At 36.0% G+C, this 20,226-nt stretch overlaps 1 protein-coding gene across 65 annotated transcripts in view; it reads right to left on the minus strand.

Annotated features, from left to right (window-relative positions):
• TBC1D5 (TBC1 domain family member 5) overlaps positions 1 to 20,226 on the minus strand; it is a 585,470-nt gene that overhangs the window by 151,439 nt on the left and 413,805 nt on the right. The gene's annotated exons all lie outside the window — the stretch shown is intronic.

Genomic DNA, 20,226 nt, shown 5'->3' on the forward strand with positions numbered 1-20,226 from the left:
ACTTCTATTTAAAATAATTCATTTTAAAATTAAGTGTGGGAAAAAGCCAGTAGATAACCATTTTTTTGGTCAAGCATAGACAGTTATTTTAAATGAAGGATATAGTCATACTTATTTTTTTTAGCTTTGCAACAGATATACCTGATCAGTAAGGCTACCTTTCGAGGAGTGTTTTTCAAACTTACTTCTATTATCTAGAAAATGAGTATCTATGCCACAGAGTAAACATAAGCAGCTAATGTGAATACTAAGCAACATCTATATATAATTGTACATAATAGTGACACTTTAGACTTTCAATAAATGTTAAACTATTTATATCTAATTCTTATAAGAAAAAAATTTGGTTTGATGTTTTTATTCATTTACCTCTAATTTTACATGACATGGCTACAATTTCCTTACATAAGTCTTTTTCTAAGGACTTCAGCTAGAATTCTATGTGATTCTAGCAAATAGCAAAGAATTAAAAATTCCAAATTTTTAGCACCATCAAATAGTATAGAATAACCTTTAAAAATTAGTTAAGAGATGTTAATTTTATGTAAATTTGAAACCAAATATAACCATTTGTGGGGTTAAAGCAAGGCAAAAAAAATTCAAATATTTTCCTTAGAGAGCAATATATTTAAGGAGAAATCAAAGATGTGACAAAATACTGTATACTCACAAATATGTATCATAGTTTATTAGGAACCATGTGATTAAACACAAGTTTTTTTATTCACATTCTCATATTAATCAATAGAATAATTAGATTATATTTTCAACTACATCAATTACTCAATTTTTCAGTATAAAAAATTTAAATGCCGAAGTATTGTTTATCTTCTTAAAAATGTTACAGCATCTTTTATAATTTTCCACTTTAAAATATTTAAAATGTTTTAAATGTTCAATTTTTAAAAATGTTACAATGTCTTTTATAATTTTTATCTTTTATAATTTTCAATTTTTACTCCACTACTATTAATAAAATGAGGGGTGATTAACACAATTTTTTTTTGTCTAATATGGCTGTGTTTACATGGCTTAGGAAAAAAAATACTTCTCCACACATTTCTAATTCTTTCAAATTACAAATGCTAATATTTACTATTCCAAGAAGTACAAAAACATCTCTAAATTAAATAGGCTGCTATTCTTAATTACAAAGAATTAACTGATCTTGCAAAGAGTACCAGGGGAACCAGAGATGGGCACAGCAAAAAAGTACATGAACTAAACCATTTTGGGCCCTTGTTCAAAGGATTTTTAACCGATACAAATGTTTGCACTCTTAAACGATGAAAACATGTAGAATGTGGTTACAGTTATTCGGCTGACACAACTTTCCTCCATCAATGAGGAAAGTAGATGAAGGTTAATACACAACTACAGTTAGGAATACAATCTTCCCCCTCTTTCCTTACAGCTCAAATCCTTGCCATTTTCTTATCAGCAATCACATCTTAGATTTCATCACAGATAGTGCTTTAAGCACAACAACAAAAAAACCAAAGTAGCCCATTTCCTAGAAATAATTTCTATACCCATTATTTCTACAACAAACTGCCCAGTTATTCCTCAAACTTCTCTTGCACCCTTCTTGACTCTGAAGATACACATATGCAGCAATCTTCACTGCAGCAGTCAGGAAGGTTAACTGCAAACATCTAGTAATCTACACTGAATAAAATACATCTTTATTTTCTGTGTCAAATTGTTCACATATTTAATATCTCCAAAACTACACACAATGCATGTCTTTAGCACTTTTTAATGTATTATCTACAATGTGCTGCTTTATAAATCTTTCATATTGCTTCACTCTTTAAGTACCTTGCCAAGTACACTGCTATATAATTCCAGGGCAAGGACCAAATCCTGTGTGTGTGAGTGCATGTAAAAGACAGAAACAGAGAGAGAGAGAGAGATCCAGAAAGTTCTTTGTAAAGACCTCTATACACTTTGCTAAGTGCTTTATGTATTTACAGAACTCTTGTTAACCCCACTGTAAAGCCACCTTTACTGAGAAGCAATGGGATAGCTAATTTGGAAGTACAGGCATTGATCTTGTTAGTGGTGGCACAAAAATAATCCAGGAGGTAGAAAAAAATACCAAAACCACATAAGAAAAAAATTTATCATTAGATGCCTAGCATGTTTCTTTTATATAAAGACTGTTAATAAGTTGTACATGAGAGGATATTAAAGTAAAATGCCGTCTCTTCTATTTTATATATAATTATAAGAAAATCCAGGCCAAATTCTCAAAATATTTAAGAAGAAGCATATAACTAATGGAATGCTTTGGGACCAACGATGACCTTATCAATAACTTAATCATTTTATCCCAATTGGATTTAGTTCTTATATATATTCACAACACACAAATTTCCTGTGCTATTTTGGGCTTTCTTCATTGAGCTTAAAAGCCAAGGAAAAAGCTCTTTACAGAATGAGTTAGTAATAGAAATTATTTCAGTAAGCTTTTATATTCTTGGAAAGAAAAACTTACCCTAAGAAATGAGGTCTTGTAAAGAAGTCACTCCTACAATTAACATGCTTTTATTGCAGTTAAAAATATTTAGTGAGAGTTTAAGTTACACTTAAGGGTAGCATTAAACCTTTTCCCCTTAAAGATAACTTCAGTTTAATTGCTTTATACTATCAATCTTGCTTTATGTATGTTACACCTGCAGACTGCCATGCTCATAACCACATATATTTTATCACTTGTGATAATATAATAATTCATATTTTACCATATCTACTTAGTAATTAAGATCTGCAGAAACAGAAAAGAGTATCTGAGGTACTAAATTTAATAATAAACACCCAAAGACAGGACAAGTCTCTATGTTTGCATTTATACCACTATTCTCGATTTTAAATTTCTGTGTAATTAAGCTGCTATTCCCAGGGGAACAGTAACTACTGTTGGTGTTATTGCTTGGTGACTGACCCACGGAAACACCAAGAGAAATTCATTTTTGCCAATGAGTTTATGAAAAGGACCAATTTGACTGAGCTTTAAATAAACATAGCCTTAATCCAACTTGGCTGTAGTGGGTTATATACAGAGAAACAAAATTAAATCCTAGGTCTTCATTTCCGTATTCTTTTCCATTAATGGCTCTTTAGTGAGATATGGGCATAGTAACCTTACAAGAACAAGTAACGTAGAAACGTTACATTCAATTTAACACACATTATAAGGGCATCTTGAGTAACCTGTGATCACGAAATGATACCACTAGGTGAGCATGCTTACACAAAAAAGCAATGTTAGATTTTTGCTCAATGATATCAATTTTGTGTTTTGCTTTCTGTTCACTTGTATTTTTAAAAGCTAACAATTTTTAAATAATCTATGCCTGTTATGGGATAAACACAGAATCCAAGTTGTGTATTAGTATTCAAGAAAAAGCAAGGTAAAAATGTTTATCTCTGTGCTTGGGTACTTCTTTGACTGATTTTAGGCTCTTATATTGGGTTTCTTTGTATTCAGTTCTTTTGAAATTAATACACCCTGAGTTTTCCTTTATATCAACTCTGTGTAGACAGTCTTAAAATTGCAAGTAAACACTGAATTCATTATACTTAGGGTCACAAGCCATTCTCATATTTAATTTGAACTTCTTTAGAAAACAGTCACAAAAAATGGGAGGCCAAAATAAATAATTTTATTCCAGTTTTACACTTACTAGTCTTCTAAGGGCTCTGCAGAATACATTACTGAAGGATGCTTACCTGTTTGGTAAATTTTTTATCTAATCAACTATTTCAATTAGGTCTTTAAAAACTATTTGGTATCTGAATGCCTTGAAGATATATTTGAATCCTTTAAGCCATCAAACTCTTTTTCAAAAAGAGAAAAAACAGAAACTTTGAATTACTGTGTCTAAAGAATTCCAATTTGCTTTCTAAGTGTTCTTTGTAATCCATGGATTGAACCCAGCTTGAATTTGCCTTTTTGGGAACACATGTTAACCTAATTTAACCCCCAAAGGATATGTACATGAACTGTTAAAAGTCTATTTTTGACTTTGGGAAAATTCTCTCTTCCTTTCAGAGGGCAGTACACAGCCCTTTATTAAGGAAGGTTTCTTATTCCAAAAATAAGTTCCTAATAATTACCACCCATTCCTACTGTAATTTATTCTCCTTGGCAAGTGTTTGAAGCTGTTTTGTCAGAACAACTGTAACATGCCTTTGCAAAAATAGTCTGAATGGAAAGTAGATCCTTGTATATCTATGTTTTTCCAGGGATTTAAGATGATCATGAACATGTTGGGTACAGAAGATGACCATAATATGACATGCTTTTGATGCTTGAACATTTTCTCTCTCCTTCTCTCTCTCATACACACATACCTCTTTCAGATGTATGCCTGCTATTTGGCTTACAAGTATGGTACTTCAAGGACTGAGTAACTTTAGCATATATAATTTACCAGGAAATTCCAATAAAGCTAATGCATGATGGTAATAGTCTAATACAGCTATAGTTGTATGAACACGATGCACTCTCTGTGAGAATCCTCTTGTCCATTCCAACTAGGGAGCAGTTGGAATCTTAGCCCTGACAGGAGGGGACTATGGGGATGAAAGCTGCTGAGAAGTAACCTCTCTACCCTATCACTTACTTGGGTTCCATCAAAAGTAAGCTACTGGGTATCTCCTTGAGAAAATTACTTAGAAGCCACTGCTGTGTATGAATTAAATATACAAAGAGTTAACGTGCAGTTGTTGGACACGTTGGGAAAACGAATTTTAGGCTCCATGAAAACTGTTTTTTATTCATACCAGAGACAGTTTTTACTTCTAGAAAGTCTGTAAATAGGCTTTGCTCTACCATTTTACCTTCAGGAAAGGAAATTATGATCAAATAAATTTTCTAAAATTGCATATAGAGATTTGCTAAAAATAATTACTCCTATCCTCCGTAATCTGAAACTCATTTAAAAAAATAAAACATGTCTGACTTTATTTTTTGAAACCATCATAGACATTTCAAATACCAATGGGATCTTAACTACAGTGAATAGCACTTTTCGACTTCCTCTGCATAAATCTCCTAATACATTTATACACACTGTTGGAAGAACTGACATGAGGTGTAACACTAAGCTGAGAAATATCAGGATCTATTCAGGGATGAAAGTAAGACCACAGTCATTATGCTTCCATAAGCAGTCAATCTCACCAACAACAATTACGTTGGAAATAGAATTCCTGTTATTCAAAGGGACATGGCCAAAATCCACAGATGGGTACCTATTAAGAGAGTCAGAAAAATTCCATTCCTAAACAGCAGCAGGGTATCTTATTGCCTTTGACCTCTTATCTCTAACCCACAGCTTTAAGTACCCTCCGGGGTTATCACTGGCCCTCTCTTCTTTCTCTTCTTTCCTGTTCCAGAAAGTGCCCTGACCCTGTCTTGCAGCTCAGGGTTTAGGACACTGCTTTGCCCAGGCCTGATATTTGAAGGTTTCACACCTATTAGTGTTACTGCTCCCACTTACATTTTCCAGAGAAACGCACTGATAAACAAATCTCAGCTAAATAGTTAAGTTACGGATGTTGTTTTGGTTTCTCTCTCTTCTCCAGCAGGATCCTAGGGGTTATTTGGTATGAGGCATAGAGTAGGGGGTTAAAAATGTTTATTTAATTAATATCAATCTTTTTCCTCAAGTTAGCTCTTCTTGACCACAGATGATCTTGATCTTGGGCCTACAGGCTGGACCTTTCACAGGATGCCTAGCTGCTTATCAGTCTTCTCCCTGGGCTTCCCCTATCTCTCTGTGGAGATCCCTGAACATACATTCTAAGCAGTAAGTGATCAGATTTATGCAGGAATTTATAAAAGCCTCCTAACCTCTCAGGAACCTTCCCCTTTCATTTCCTGAACTCTAGTTCCCTGCATGCCCATACCTCCAATGTTCCTCAGCTTGAGTGTATGGTCTCCTAGGACCCTGCTATTCAAAGTGTAATCCTAGGACCAGTACCACCACCTGGCAGCTTGTTAGATATGCATCTTTCAGCCCCCCAGTATAGTGCTCCTGGGTCAGAGCTTCACTTCAACAAAACCTCCAGGTGATCTGCATGTACAAGTTTGAGAGGCACTGGACAAGGTGACAGATTCCTGTTTCCTGTCGATATTTTGGCTTCAGGCTGTCAGAGCTCCTAAAATCTACCATGCATTCATGTAAAATGTTACTCCATGAGGAGAGAAAAAGCAAAAGTTATTGGATGGCTCTTCTAATTACAGTAGTGGCCTGAAACTTTTGCATGCAGCAGAGGTATCTGGAGGGATGGTAAAAACACAGATTGCTAGAACCCATCCCCAAAGTTTTCTGATACAGAAGATTTAATGAGAGCCTGATCATTTTTTAAGGTGGGGTCAATACAGGCATCTGCCACTGTGCCCAGAGATAATGTGTATTTTGAACTAGTTCCCAGGAGATACTGATGCTGCTCGTGTGGGAACCAAACTATAAGACCCATACATAGGAAGTTCTGGTTTCTCTCCGCATCTTCTCAGCCTACTCTTGAGTGTGTATCTTCAAACTGGCTCACTCTACATGTCTAACCATTCAGCCAATGGCCATCAGGCACACATTTAATGACTGGGACACAAAGTATCCATAGCCAAATTTCTCTTAGAATTCTATCTGTATTAATTTATATATATTTTATTTTCAAGGAAAACACTATTATAAAAACATGACCCAATAAAAAGTAGGGATACAAATGTGAGGGTGACAGAAGTGAGATAATACCAAAACTGCCAGGCCCAAAAGGGCATTTGCCCACTCCCCATGTAGAAGCCCCATGATACTGGGAGCGCAGCTGAATGGTCATCTATTTTGTGTTCCTCTATTCTGTGTTACCAGTGAACCATTCTACGTCTAAGGTTTAACACTATCAACTATGTGGGTCTAAATATCCCTAAAATAAAACATGCATTTAAAATGCTATTCCTGGAGAAATAAAGGGCTAAACTCCAAGAAACATTTCTCCAGTGATATTACTATCAGCTCTGTGATGTAGTGGTGGAAGAGAGATTTCAGGTTAAGGGAGTTCACCTGGAAACTCTCAAATCTCAATGCAAAGTGGAAATAAATGAAGACCCCCCAAATGAGAATAAGCAAAGGTTATTCATTCAGAGTTTGTAATAGCAAGAGAGTTCAGCTACCATTACCTGTGTTTGGAAGATAATCCAAAGTAGCCAGGGGAAAGATAAAGCTTTACGGTGTGGGGGACGGGCGGGGGGAGGCTTCAGGTATGCCCCACTGAAGGCTGTAGGCATGGCAGAGGGCTAACTAGACGTGGGGTACCATATATGATTGATTTGGGGAACATATTTGGCTTTCTCTAGGTTGGTCCTGTGGTGGAAGCAGAAAGTAGGGCAAAAATAGGGAAGTTAGCAGCGACTGACCAAGGCCTAACTGTTCTGGACTGATTTTGCTGGAAAGGTTGTAGTTTGGCTTCTGGGGCATCTTATCTGGGTCAGAGTTCTGTTGTCACATATAGTGTTGCCATTGCCCATTTGCATGTTCAGTCTTTCAACATACACCCTTGGCTTCTCAGCCTATGCCTGTCCCCAGCTTGGAATGAACTATAGTTAGAGAAATTTACAAAATTACTTTCCCTGATCGTTCTGAAGTCCACATGGAGACAAGTTTGTGAGGCAGTGGCCATGGGAGTTTTGTTTCTCACTTTCAAACATTTCATGAGAAGTATAAAACAGTGAAACTGAGATTCCATTCATCAGTAGAGAGAAGTTGCAGACCCCTTTGAGAATGTAATCAAGCGTATGAGCCCTCTCTTCTGAAAAATACACACACCCATCCCCATATCATATCTACTCAAGTGAAAGCCATTTTAGGAGTTAGGCTAATTCAGGGACCTTAGGTTAAGAACTGCTCTATATTTATGTTTATGTTATTGCGGATGCTTGTATTATCATGGAAAGTTATATTCTACTAAAAGGAATTCGCAGCTTCCTTGTGCCCATTTCAAAGTATCGTTCTTGCATTTTAAAAGAACAGCATATTTCCCTTCTTGAAGGCTCACTGTGTTAAGGCACTGCTAGTGAGGAGCTATTCTGTGTGGCTCAGCTGGTCAAACAGTCTGTAAATCGGCACTATCTTGGGAAAATGTCCATGACTTGGCAATACTCATCTTCACTGACCTGAGGGTGGAAAGGTTGAGGTTGGGGGAGATGAACTTTCTTCACTGACTTCTTTTCCTGGCTCATGCCAGCCCTGATTTGATCATAAGACTGGTATGAAAAACTGAGAATCTTCATTTAACAAGTATTTCCTAAACTTCAACAGTGTGGCAGGTACTGTGCTAGGCCATAGACTGAATGCCATGCTGACAACTCTTAATCATTAATGGAAAAAATTACTCAAAATAAAATTTTAACTCAATAATAATCCCATCAATCTGGTTTACCACAGTTACTCTGCATTTTTCTGTGCCCCCTCCACGCTAAATCCCCCAAGCAACTAGGATGTACTCAGGGGATGCAAACTAATGGCAACATTAGCAACATATAATTAGAATAGCAACATATAATTAGAAAGGCAAAAACAATTTAAAACATTACTAAATACATTTCAAAGCCAAGTATTAACGGTTTTTGGATTATCCACCATCTGGGATTATGTATGTCTCAGTTACTATCCATTAACACAGATAATCAAGAGCTGAATGTATCTGCATGGGGCCCAGGTAACTCACAAGAAGGCAGGGAGAGACAGGGAGGGAAACAGGAAACTATGAAGGAGCCATGAAGGGAAAGGGCAGTCAACTCCACCACATTCATTACTTTGAGAATATGGGTTTGGTTGGAAATCTAGAAGTCCAGCTCAAAATGACATAAATTACCTTTTCTACTAGTGAAAGCTAAATGGAAACAAAAGAGTTAAGGAGGGGATTGGCTCCTCCATTTTATCCCTGTCTGACAGCTAAATTTAATGCCCATACAACTTTACAATCAATTATATCTATGTGTATATAATATTTTTTTAAGGACAAATATATAATAACCAAGGAAAATGTATTTTTTAATGCACAGAAGATCACAACTCAATGTTTTAAAATAATCACACGCAATTTCTGATAATGGCAAATACCATGCATTTATATCAATTTTTTGATTTTTAAAAGTACTACCACATTTGGACTGTAAACTAGTTCAACCATTGTGGAAGTCGGTGTGGCGATTCCTCAGGGATCTAGAACTAGAAATTCCATTTGACCCAGCCATCCCATTACTGGGTATATACCCAAAGGATTATAAATCATGCTGCTATAAAGACACATGCACACGTATGTTTATTGCGGCACTATTCACAATAGCAAAGACTTGGAACCAACCCAAATGTCCAACAATGATAGACTGGATTAAGAAAATGTGGCACACATACACCATGGAATACTATGCAGCCATAAAAAATGATGAGTTCATGTCCTTCGTAGGGACAGGGATGAAACTGGAAATCATCATTCTCAGTAAACTATCGCAAGGACAAAAAACCAAACACCCCATATTCTCACTCATAGATGGGAACTGAACAATGAGAACACATGTACACAGGAAGGGGAACATCACACTCTGGGGACTGTTGTGGGGTGGGGGGAGGGGGGAGGGATAGCTTTAGGAGATATACCTAATACTAAATGACGAGTTAATGGGTGCAGCACACCAACATGGCACATGTATACATATGTAACAAACCTGCACATTGTGCACATGTACCCTAAAACTTAAAGTATAATAACAATAAAATTTAAAAAAAAAGTACTACCACATTTGATCTTGAAACAAGCCTGAACTCTTTAAAAGCAAATGGTCTGTGGAATACATGCATTAGAACCACTTGGGGGAAAAATTCTTGCATGTTTCAGAGATACAAAGGTGATTTCTTTGCTCAGCCCCCAGTCTGTAATCATTGACCCAAAGAAGCTGGGCAGGAACAGGCATTTTACTGATATATCAACAAAGGAACATGGCGCAACCTGAGGTCACATTTCATCCAAAGACAGATTATACAATATTATAACAACTAGCCCAGTGTTTTTTCTATTCTTTTATATTTTCTCTAATTTCCAAAGGATAGTTAATTCAGTTATGTATTTTTAAAATCGCCTCTCCACATTAACATGGAGAATCACAGGATTCGGAATGCATAGTATCTACTATTGCTATGTCATCTGTGTGGTAGCTGGGTTTTTCTGGGTAGAAGAAATGGTGCTTTCTGAAAGACTTATTTTGATGAATCGCAATCTGCTAGTTCATGAGTACCCCAGTTAAAATACAATGGTAATTACAGCTATAGGACCCTACAAGATTTACAGGGCTTCTTTTCAGGGAAACTCATTAAGGAAACTATAAAGAACTAAGAACTTACAAAGAAAAATTAATTGCCACTTTTGGTCAGCCAATTTTAGAAAGACTTATGAGGTCTAGAATTGTATTTCGGGCTAATGGAGAGAACAGAAACTCAGTGAAGTTTAGTTGACTGAGGGCATCATGGTTTATAATATGTTCATAAATTAATCTGCTCGTAAACCAACTCAAATATGAAGCAGCAGAACCATCACATAAAACACTTTAAATTTATTTTTGTCAACATACTCATTTCCTTTCCACATCAGCTACCAGTTACTGTGGCTGAGTTCTAGTGCTGAGATGCTCCAAATCCGTGATCTCTTCTGAAGCACTGCTCTCTGACCATAGCCTCGTATCTCACTATCTTTCTCACTTTCTTAATTCTTTTACTGTCTGTGAATTAAAATGGAAACTATGTGGAGTTATTGTTTTGCTAATTTATAGGTTTTTTTTTTTTTTTTGCAAATGGCGAAAAAGAACTTAAAAGTTTAACAAGACGTACAATAAGAAGCAATTTTCCTTCCCAACCCAAATCCCTTCCCCAACAGCAAACCTACCTTCCCAAGGGTAGCCAATGTTCTTATACAACATACAGACATTTTTATGCAGGTATTTACCTGGTAAAAGCATAAACAGCTGGGAGGCAGAGGCGGGCGGATCACAAGGTCAGGAGATCAAGACCATCCTGGCTAACATGGTGAAACCCCGTCTCTACTAAAAATACAAAAAATTAGCCGGGTGGGGTGGCGGGCACCTGTAGCTCCAGCTACTCAGGAGGCTGAGGCAGGAGAATGGTGTGAACCCGGGAGGCGGAGCTTGCAGTGGGCCAAGATTGCACCACTGCACTCCAGCCTGGGCGACACAGCGAGACTCTGTCTCAAAAGAAAAAGAAGAAAAAAAGCATAAACAGGAGCACATATTTTTAAATTTAACAATGATTGCTAAAATGAAGATCGTTCCAAATAAACATATATACAAATAAATAACTTGCTCTTTATTATGGTTGTGTAGTATTCCATAAGTGGATGTATAGTAACTTAAATAGTCCTTTTATTTTGGGGACATTTAGGTTCCTTTGTTATTATATGTGATGCTGCATTGATTATCTTTGTACAGGTCTTTGTTCGTGTAAATATATCTTGGAAGCAAATTGCTTACTTCATGTTACCTCAGCACTTTAGTTTAATTTAGGATCTTTGATTACAAAGAATGGCACTGAGTTATTTCACACACAAAAAGGGGAATTTGGGAAAACTGTAAAGCAGTGGTTTTCAAAGTGTGGTCTCTAAACCAGCAGCATCAGCATCACATGAAAATTTGTTCAAACTGCAAATTCTTGAACCCCACTCACTCATACCTACTAAATCAGAAGCTCTAGGCAAAGTTCAGCAATCTGTATTTTAAAAAGCCCTTTGGGTGATTCTGATGCAAGCTCAAGTTTGAGAACCACTACTTTAAGAGTGTATAAGAGGATATAGTGTTGGGATGCTGCCAAGAACCAAGGAAGTTTTAGTGATTCCTAACTTTTCTCTCTTTGGCTACAGGGAGGACTCCTTTCCCAGAAAGAAATTTTATTGTAATGTCATATTTACCAAAACTTTTCTTCATAGTTTATGGGCTTGTGAACTCCCCACCTAATAACATAACACTCATCATTTTATTCCAGTTTTATTTATATTATTGATTCATCTGGTATTCATTTTGGTGCAAAACAGAGATATACATTCATGATTTACCAAAAAGCTAGTTAGTTCTCAAAACTGTATTACTGAATAATCCATTGTTCCCCTAATGAATTGAAATTCTATCTTTACCATAGTATTACATTTCTATATGTATTGAGGGTCTGTTTCAGAATCTCTATTTTCTTTTACCTGTGAATCTGTCTAATTATGCAACAAATCCAAACTGTTATTATGATGGTATCTTTATAATACATTTACCAGTGGGTTCATTCCAGAACATAAATTAATCTGCTCACAAACCAACTAAGATAGGAAGCACTCCTGGCTATACTTAAATGTATATGTTTGAAAAATTATTTTTGAAATTTATTTTAATTTATGCTTTCATAGTTTTCTATAATTTATTTTTAGAGACAAGGTCTCACTCTGTTGTCCAGGCTGGAGTGCAGTGGCCCAATCATAGCTCACTACAGCCTTGAACTCCTAGGCTCAAGCAATCCTCTGGCCTCAGGCTCCTGAGTAGCTGGGAGTACAGGCATGTGTCACCATGCTCAGTTACTTTAAAAAAACATTTTTTGTAGAGACACTATGTTGCCCAGGTTGGTCTCAAACTCCTGGCCTCAAGCCTCCCAAAGTGCTGAGATTACAGGTGTATGCCACTAGGCTCAGTCCTGTGTATTATTTTAAACTATGTAAATGAACTACGTAAAATTTTTACTATTTATTTTCTCCAAAAGGAAACACTTATCAATGCATTTTTTCTGTCATTTATGTTTTGCTATTAAAGCACAACTGCTTTTAGTTTTAACTGCTTCCTTTATTTATTTTGCTGTTATTTTTATTACTTGAGATGAATATTTAATTCACACATTTTTATTTCTTTTTGTTTAGTAGCTTAAGAGTATAAAGCTGAGAATTTCTAAGAGCACTGTTTTAGTCAAAACCAATAGGTTCTAATCAATATACTTTACCGTTATTTTCTAGGAATTTTGTAATTTCAGTTTTGATTTCCTTTTAGTACAAGAGTAAAGAGAGTTTTATGATTTTCTGTGCTAGTTCTTTCTTGAGGGTTGTTTTCTACTTTTGTGATTAATTTCAAGTTTTGTAAAAAATGTGAACTATACTATTTCTACTGTGTTAAAATTTACTGAATATTTTTGTATAGCTACTTTAAACATTCTATGGATACAGTAATTTCACTCTGTTTACAGTACAGAGAGTTGGATATATACCAATTATATCTAACTGATTAAAGGTGAATAACTAGTTTCTCTGTACTCTTACTTTACAGTGAGTCTGCCTGATTTACCATGAATTACGAGAGGTACAAGTAGCTTACTACTATTGCATTCCTATGTATTTCTCCTTATATTTCTCATAGCTGTTATGTTATACAAATTCTGCTGTGATTTGGGGGAGGGGGAGGTACAATGATTAAAGAAAGATCTTCATTGTGAATTGTAAACTTCTTAACTATGAATTGTTCTAATTTATCTCATTCAATGTGATTTGCTTTAAAATTCACTTTGTCTGATATGAACATCATTACACATACCTTCATTTCTGTTTGCTTTTCCTGCTATGCCTCTGCAAATTGTTTTGTTTTCAATGTTTCTGTTTCTGTTTCCTTTGCATTAGGAGTGATTTTCTTGTAATAGAATAGGGTTGACTTTATTTTATTTTTAAAAATAGACCTGACTTCCCCTTCAGACCATGATGGAATAACTGGGTATATCTCTACTGCTCTCATACGATAAACAGCTACAAAACTGGACAAAATAAAGATAAGCAGCGCAGCACTGTGATTTCTGACATAAGGGGGAAAAACCCCAGATGAATCCTGTGATCACTGGCTTTTTACCTGGATGTGCTTTTGAAACCACAGAGCAGGAAGGAGAAACCCAAAGCAGAATGCATTGCTCTTACTAAGTTTAAAAGACGCAGACTCAAGGCCGAGGAAAGTGTGCACGACATTGTTACCTTTAAAGGAGGAAGCTATGCAGAGAATAATCTCCAGAAATCTGCACAAGGGGTGTCCTTAAGTGTTTGCTAAATAGTAAGTTGTGCATATGAAGGGTAAACTTCTAGAAGGCCAAGCAAAGAAGAAATAACAGAAAACGAACTACTACACAGCAGTGGAAAAAATCTTCAAGGTTTTATAATGTTGGGAAATATTCATGTTCTGAACAGTCAAACTGAAGAGAGGTTAGTATACCCATGAAAAATTCAGTAGAAACCCGACAGGTGCCATCGTGCCTTAGCAGCAGGGTTAAATTGGCCCTTGGGTAGAACATACATTAGAACTGCACTTTTAAAAAGTTTAAAAACAAGTATCAAAAATATCAAATAAAAAATCTCAAAGTAGTTTAACAGTCTGCCAAAAGTAAACTCAACATTTCTTTAAAGAAAGACTACAGATTCAGAGAAGTTGAATCATATAACATTCAAAATTTACAGCACTGAATTTTAAAAATCACAAATTATGTGAAGAAACGGGAAAAACAGACCAACCCACAACTGAAAAGGAAGGAAATAACGCCAGTTTATCACAAACTCTTTTTGAAGATATGAGATGCAGACTCATATCGTGAGGCCAGCATTACTGGCATTCCAAAACCTCACAAAGACACTATGAGAAAACTGTAGACACATATTCACCATGAATATAAGCACAAATATTCTTCACAAAATATTAGCGAATAAATTCAAACCATATATAATAGGCATAGAGACTGGAAAGGAAGAAATAAAACTGTAAGTGCAGATGACATAATTGTCTACAAAATCCCAAACAACTGTACAAAAACAAAACACTATTTAAACTAGTGAGTGAGTTTAGAAAAGATACAGGATGTAAGGTCATTATATACTAGAAACAAATAACTAGAAATTGAAAAGAAAAGTAACAGCATCTTTATAATAAACCCCATAAAATATTTAGGGATGAATATAAAAAATAAATGTAATAGCTGTGTGCTGAAAACTATAAAAAAAAAGATAATCACAAAGCCCTAAATAGAAAGTTACACCATGTTTATTGACTAGAATAATCAATATTGTTAAGATTTCTATTTTCCTAAAACTGATTTTATAGATTCAATGCAATCTTAATTAAAATCCCTTGATTTCTGGAAAAATGAACAGGCTGACCCTAAAATGTGAATTGAAGAGCAAAGGACTAAAAATACTCGAAACAATTTTAAAAAGAAAAACAAAGTTGGAGGACTCATATTATGTGATATACAGAATTACTATAAAAGTCTTTACTTTAATTCAAGACAACATAGTATTGGTATTATAAAAGATGCCTAGATTGACAGAACAAAGTTTGGAGGTAGACAAACATTTATGGTCAATTGATTCTTGCTAAACATGTCAAGGAAATTCAATGGCAAATGGATGGTCTTTTTCACAAATGATGTTGGAATAACTGCACATCCACTACAAAACAATGAACCTCGTACTTATATTTTACATGACATACAAAAATTAACTCAAAATGGATAACAGGCCTAAGGGCAACGATTGTACAACGCCTTGAAAATAGGTAGAAGAAAATCTTGTGACACTGATAGGTAAAGATTTCTTAGGACATAGAAAACTCTAATAATAAAAACTAATAAATTGAATTTTATTAAAAATTAAAAACTTATCTTTGAAAGGTACCATTAAGAAAATGAAAATAGGCCCGGTGTGGTGGCTCACACCTGTATCCTAGCACTTTGGGAGGCCGCGGCAGGCGGATCACTTGAGGTCAGGAGTTCAAAACCAGCCTGGCCAACATGGTGAAGCCTTGTGTCTACTAAAAATACAAAAAAATTAGCCGGGTGTAGTGGTGGGCATCTGTAATCCCAGCTACTGGGGAGGCTTAGGCAGAAGAATTGCTTGAACCCAGGAGGCAGAGGTTGCAGTAAGCCTAGATTGCACCACTGCACTCTATCCTCGACAACAGAGTGAGACTCTGTCTCAAAAAAAAATGAAAATGAAAATACAAGCAACACATTAGGAGAAAATATTTACAAAATACATACATGCAAAAAGACATTTCTTGAATATACAAAGATCTCTAATAACTTGATCATAATAATGCCCCCATTTTAAAAAATGGACAAGATATAAGAACAGACACCTCATCAAAGAAGTGGTATGAAAAGCAAATAAACATACAAAAAGATGTTCAATGTGATTATCAGGAAAATGCAAAAAACGGCAATGAGATATTACTGCAGATCCATTAGAATGGCTTTTTAAGAAATGACAAAACCAAATCCTAGTGGTGACCAAGGATACAAAGTAATTGAAACTCTCATAAATTGCTGATGGTAATACAAAATAGCATAGCCATTTTGGAGAGCAGTTTGAAAATAATTTTGCTGTTTCTTATAAAGTTGAACATATATTTTATCAAACAACCCAGTGATCTGTCTCCTTGCTATTTATCCAAGACAAATATGTTTACACAAACACCTGCATATGTAGATTTGTAATGGTTTTATTCATAATTGCTCAAAACTGAAAAAACCCACAGGTCCTCCAACTGGTAAAAGAATAAACAAATTGTGGTATATCCAGAAACTGGAATAGTACTCAGTTAAAAAAAAAAAAAAAAGAAATGAACTATTGATAGAGGCAATAATATGGATGAATCTTTTTTTTTTTTTTTTTGAGACGAAGTCTTGCCCTGTCGCCCAGGCTGGAGTGCAATGGTGTGATCTTGGCTCATTGCAACCTTCACCTCCTGGGTTGAAGCGATTCACCTGCCTCAGCCTGCCGAGTAGCTGGGATTTACAGGCATGCGCCTCCATGCCCAGCTAAGTTTTGTATTTTTAGTAGAGACAGGGTTTCACCATGTTGGCCAGGCTGGTCTTGAACTCCCAACCTTATGATCCACCTGCCTTGGCCTCCCAAAGTGCTGGGATTACAGGCATGAGCCACCGCGCCTGGCCCAATATGGATGAATCTTAAATGTATTATGCTAAGTGGAATAAACAGGAATTAAAAGGCTACATACATTTATATGATATTCTGGAAATGGTAAAACTATACAAGAGGCTGAACAGATCAATGATTACCAGGGATTGAGGGAATGACTACAAAGGAGCATAATAAAAATTCTGAAGTGCAGGAACAGCTTTTACGTATTGACTATAGACACGTACAAATGTATGTGTCTGCCAAACTATATTTCGATAAGCTTGACTTAAAAAAAATGACCTATACAGGAAAATTAAGTGACAAAACCTTGAATGCTAAGTAATCACAAACAAAAATGGTAAATAGAGAATTTTTCGAAAAACCTATATTAATATAGTATTAAAGTCAAGTGAGAGGAAAAAATGGTGAAGTAGATAAATTCTCTATGACTGTACTCATCTCATAGAGCACTAAGAACGTAGTATGTAAGGAAGAAAAGAATATTAAATATCTAATAGAAATATAAACAGGCACCCTCACACACAAAAATACTGTATAGAATCCAGCATAAAATTTGTTCTCATATTCAAAATACAGATAAAGAGAGAACCTGAAATAACTAATCAAAGAGAGCAAAACTGTGTTCCATCCAGAATAGGAACATTGAAGAGGGAAGAAACAGTAAACTTCCTGCCAATTTGGTGGTACTTCCATTCTGGTCTTCTTCAATGTACATGCTATTAGTTACTATTCACAGTCCTCAGATGGCTGTTCCATTCATTCTGATAAGCTTTTTAGTTGCATTTAGTCAGATGAAAAGAGTAAAATGTGCTTGCTCCATCTTACTTGGAACCAGAACCTCTGTACTTGAATATTTTTTATTATTTTATTTATTTATTTTGAGACCAGGTCTCACTCTGTTGCCCAGGCTGGAGTATAGCTGTACAATCATGGCTTACTGCAGCCTCAACCTTTCAAGATGAAGCAATTCTCCTGCCTTAGCCTCCTGAGTAGCTGAGACCACAGGTATTCACCACGCCCTGCTAATTTTAAAATTTATTTTTTGTAGAGATGGAGTCTCACTATTTTGCCCAGGTTGGGCTTGAACTCCTGGGCTCAAGTAACCCAACCACCTTGGCCTCCTAAAGTCCTGAGATTGCTGGCATGAGCCAGGGCAGCCAGCCTATACTTAGATATTAAAGAGTCATCTGAAACTGAAAATGTCCAACGCCAAACTCTTGCTCCTCTCACTATCTTTCTTAACTTAGGAGACAGCAATCAACCCTCTAGTTGCTCAGGAGCCAAAAACCTTGGAGTCTTCATTGATTTCCCTTTCTCTCATACCCTACGTTTAATTCATCAGCAAATCCTTTTGTACCTTCAAAATACATTCAGAATCTAACCACCTTTCACCAACTATACTGATACCATCCTGATCTTTCATCTTGATACCAACATTATTAACACCATTATCTTTCACCTTGATTAACCAATCATTCATTTAAATTTAAAAATTTACCTTTTATTTAACTGAATAAATTTGATGGCCTAATACCACTACTGTTATATTATGGCAGTAACAAAAACAGACAAAAATCTCTGTCCTCATGAAGTTTATTTGCTAGTGGAAATTTACTTCTAGTGAAAAAAAAGATTGTTATTTAGCCTCTTAACTAATTTCCTTTCTGCTCTTGTCTTCCTATAGTCCATTCTAGTCACTGATTCCAGAGAGATCGTTTCAAAAGATAAGTCAGGCGACATCATGTCTGTCCTCAAAGTTCTCTAATGGCTTATCATCTCAGAATAAAAATCTATGTCCTTAAAATGGCTTTCAAGATCTTACTCAACCTAGTTGTACCCTTTGACCTCATTTCCTACAGTCCTGCTCACTTTGCTTCAGCCTCGCTGGTTTGAGCATGTCAGTCATAGTTCTACTTCAGGACCTTTGTACTTGCAATGCCATCTGCTTGGAGGTTTTCTCCCCACAAAAATACATGGCTTGCTCCCATAGCTATTTCAGGTCTTTACTCAAATGTTACCAGCTCAGTGAGGCCTTCTCTGACCTCCATATTAAAAACTGTACTCCTTAGATCCCTTCCCTATTTATTTTTTTCCATGGTACTTATTACCGCCTAACATTACCTATATTTCATGTTCTCGTATTTACTATGTCCCCCACTATAACAGCAAGTTCGATAGGGCATGAATTTTTCTGTGTGTTGCTGTATGTGGTTTTTTTTCCCCATTACTGTAAAATCAGTGCCTAGAACAGTACCTGGTATACAATGGATGTTCAATATATATGTGTTGAATAATTGTTCTTAGCTTTCTTTATAAAATCTAGTAGAAATTATGATATGCTAGAGTTGGATGTGACTTTAAAAACCCTCTATTTCTTGCCAGGCATGGTGGCTAACACCTGTAATTCCAGCACTTTTGAGAGGCCAAGATGGGGGGATAGCTTAAGGCCCAGAGTTTGAGACCAGCCTGGATAACACAGTGAGACACTGTATCTACAAAAATTTTAAAAATTAGCCAGGTGTGGTGGTACACACCTATAGTCCCAGCTACTTGGGAGGCTGAAGTGGGAGGATCGCTTGAGCATGGGAGGTTGAGGCCACAGTGAGCCATGAACAGGCCACTGCACTCCAGCCTGAGTGACAGAGGAGACCCTGTCTCTTTATTTAAAAAAAAAAAAAAGTCCTTTAAAACTGTCTTTGTCAGCACACACTACAGATTTCTGGGTGAGATGAGATAGCTGTTTTTACAACCATCACCAAGAATTCCTCTCCATCCATTTCCATGATCATTGGTCAGTGTGTTGTGCTGTCTTCCTACTGACCTAACCTGCCATAGATTGTCCACCTTGAATCATCTAGCAGGCCACTGACAAATGGGCAAATGAGGAAAAGTGATTTGTCCGGTCATCACTGAGACAGTGGCAGAACTGGGACTCACTTCTAATCACCTAACTTACAATACAGTATTCCTCCTTCCTTATGTCACGATGCCACTCAAAAATTTGCAGTGCTGAGTTGCTAGCTTCTATTATTTTTAATGAAGTGGGTTATTTCCTTTGACATGAGATGAAGTCTTCAGAAATAGTGGAGACCTAGAAAGAAAGTTATACTCACAAAGCTTCCTCAACTCAAAAACCCAAAATACTACATATAATCCATAAAATTCCTTATGAATTGTGAAATTCTTTATGGATTTTGGATTTATGAATTCTTCATG

The sequence above is a fragment of the Homo sapiens genome, chromosome 3, assembly GCF_000001405.40.
Source record: "Homo sapiens chromosome 3, GRCh38.p14 Primary Assembly".
NCBI lineage: Eukaryota > Metazoa > Chordata > Mammalia > Primates > Hominidae > Homo > Homo sapiens.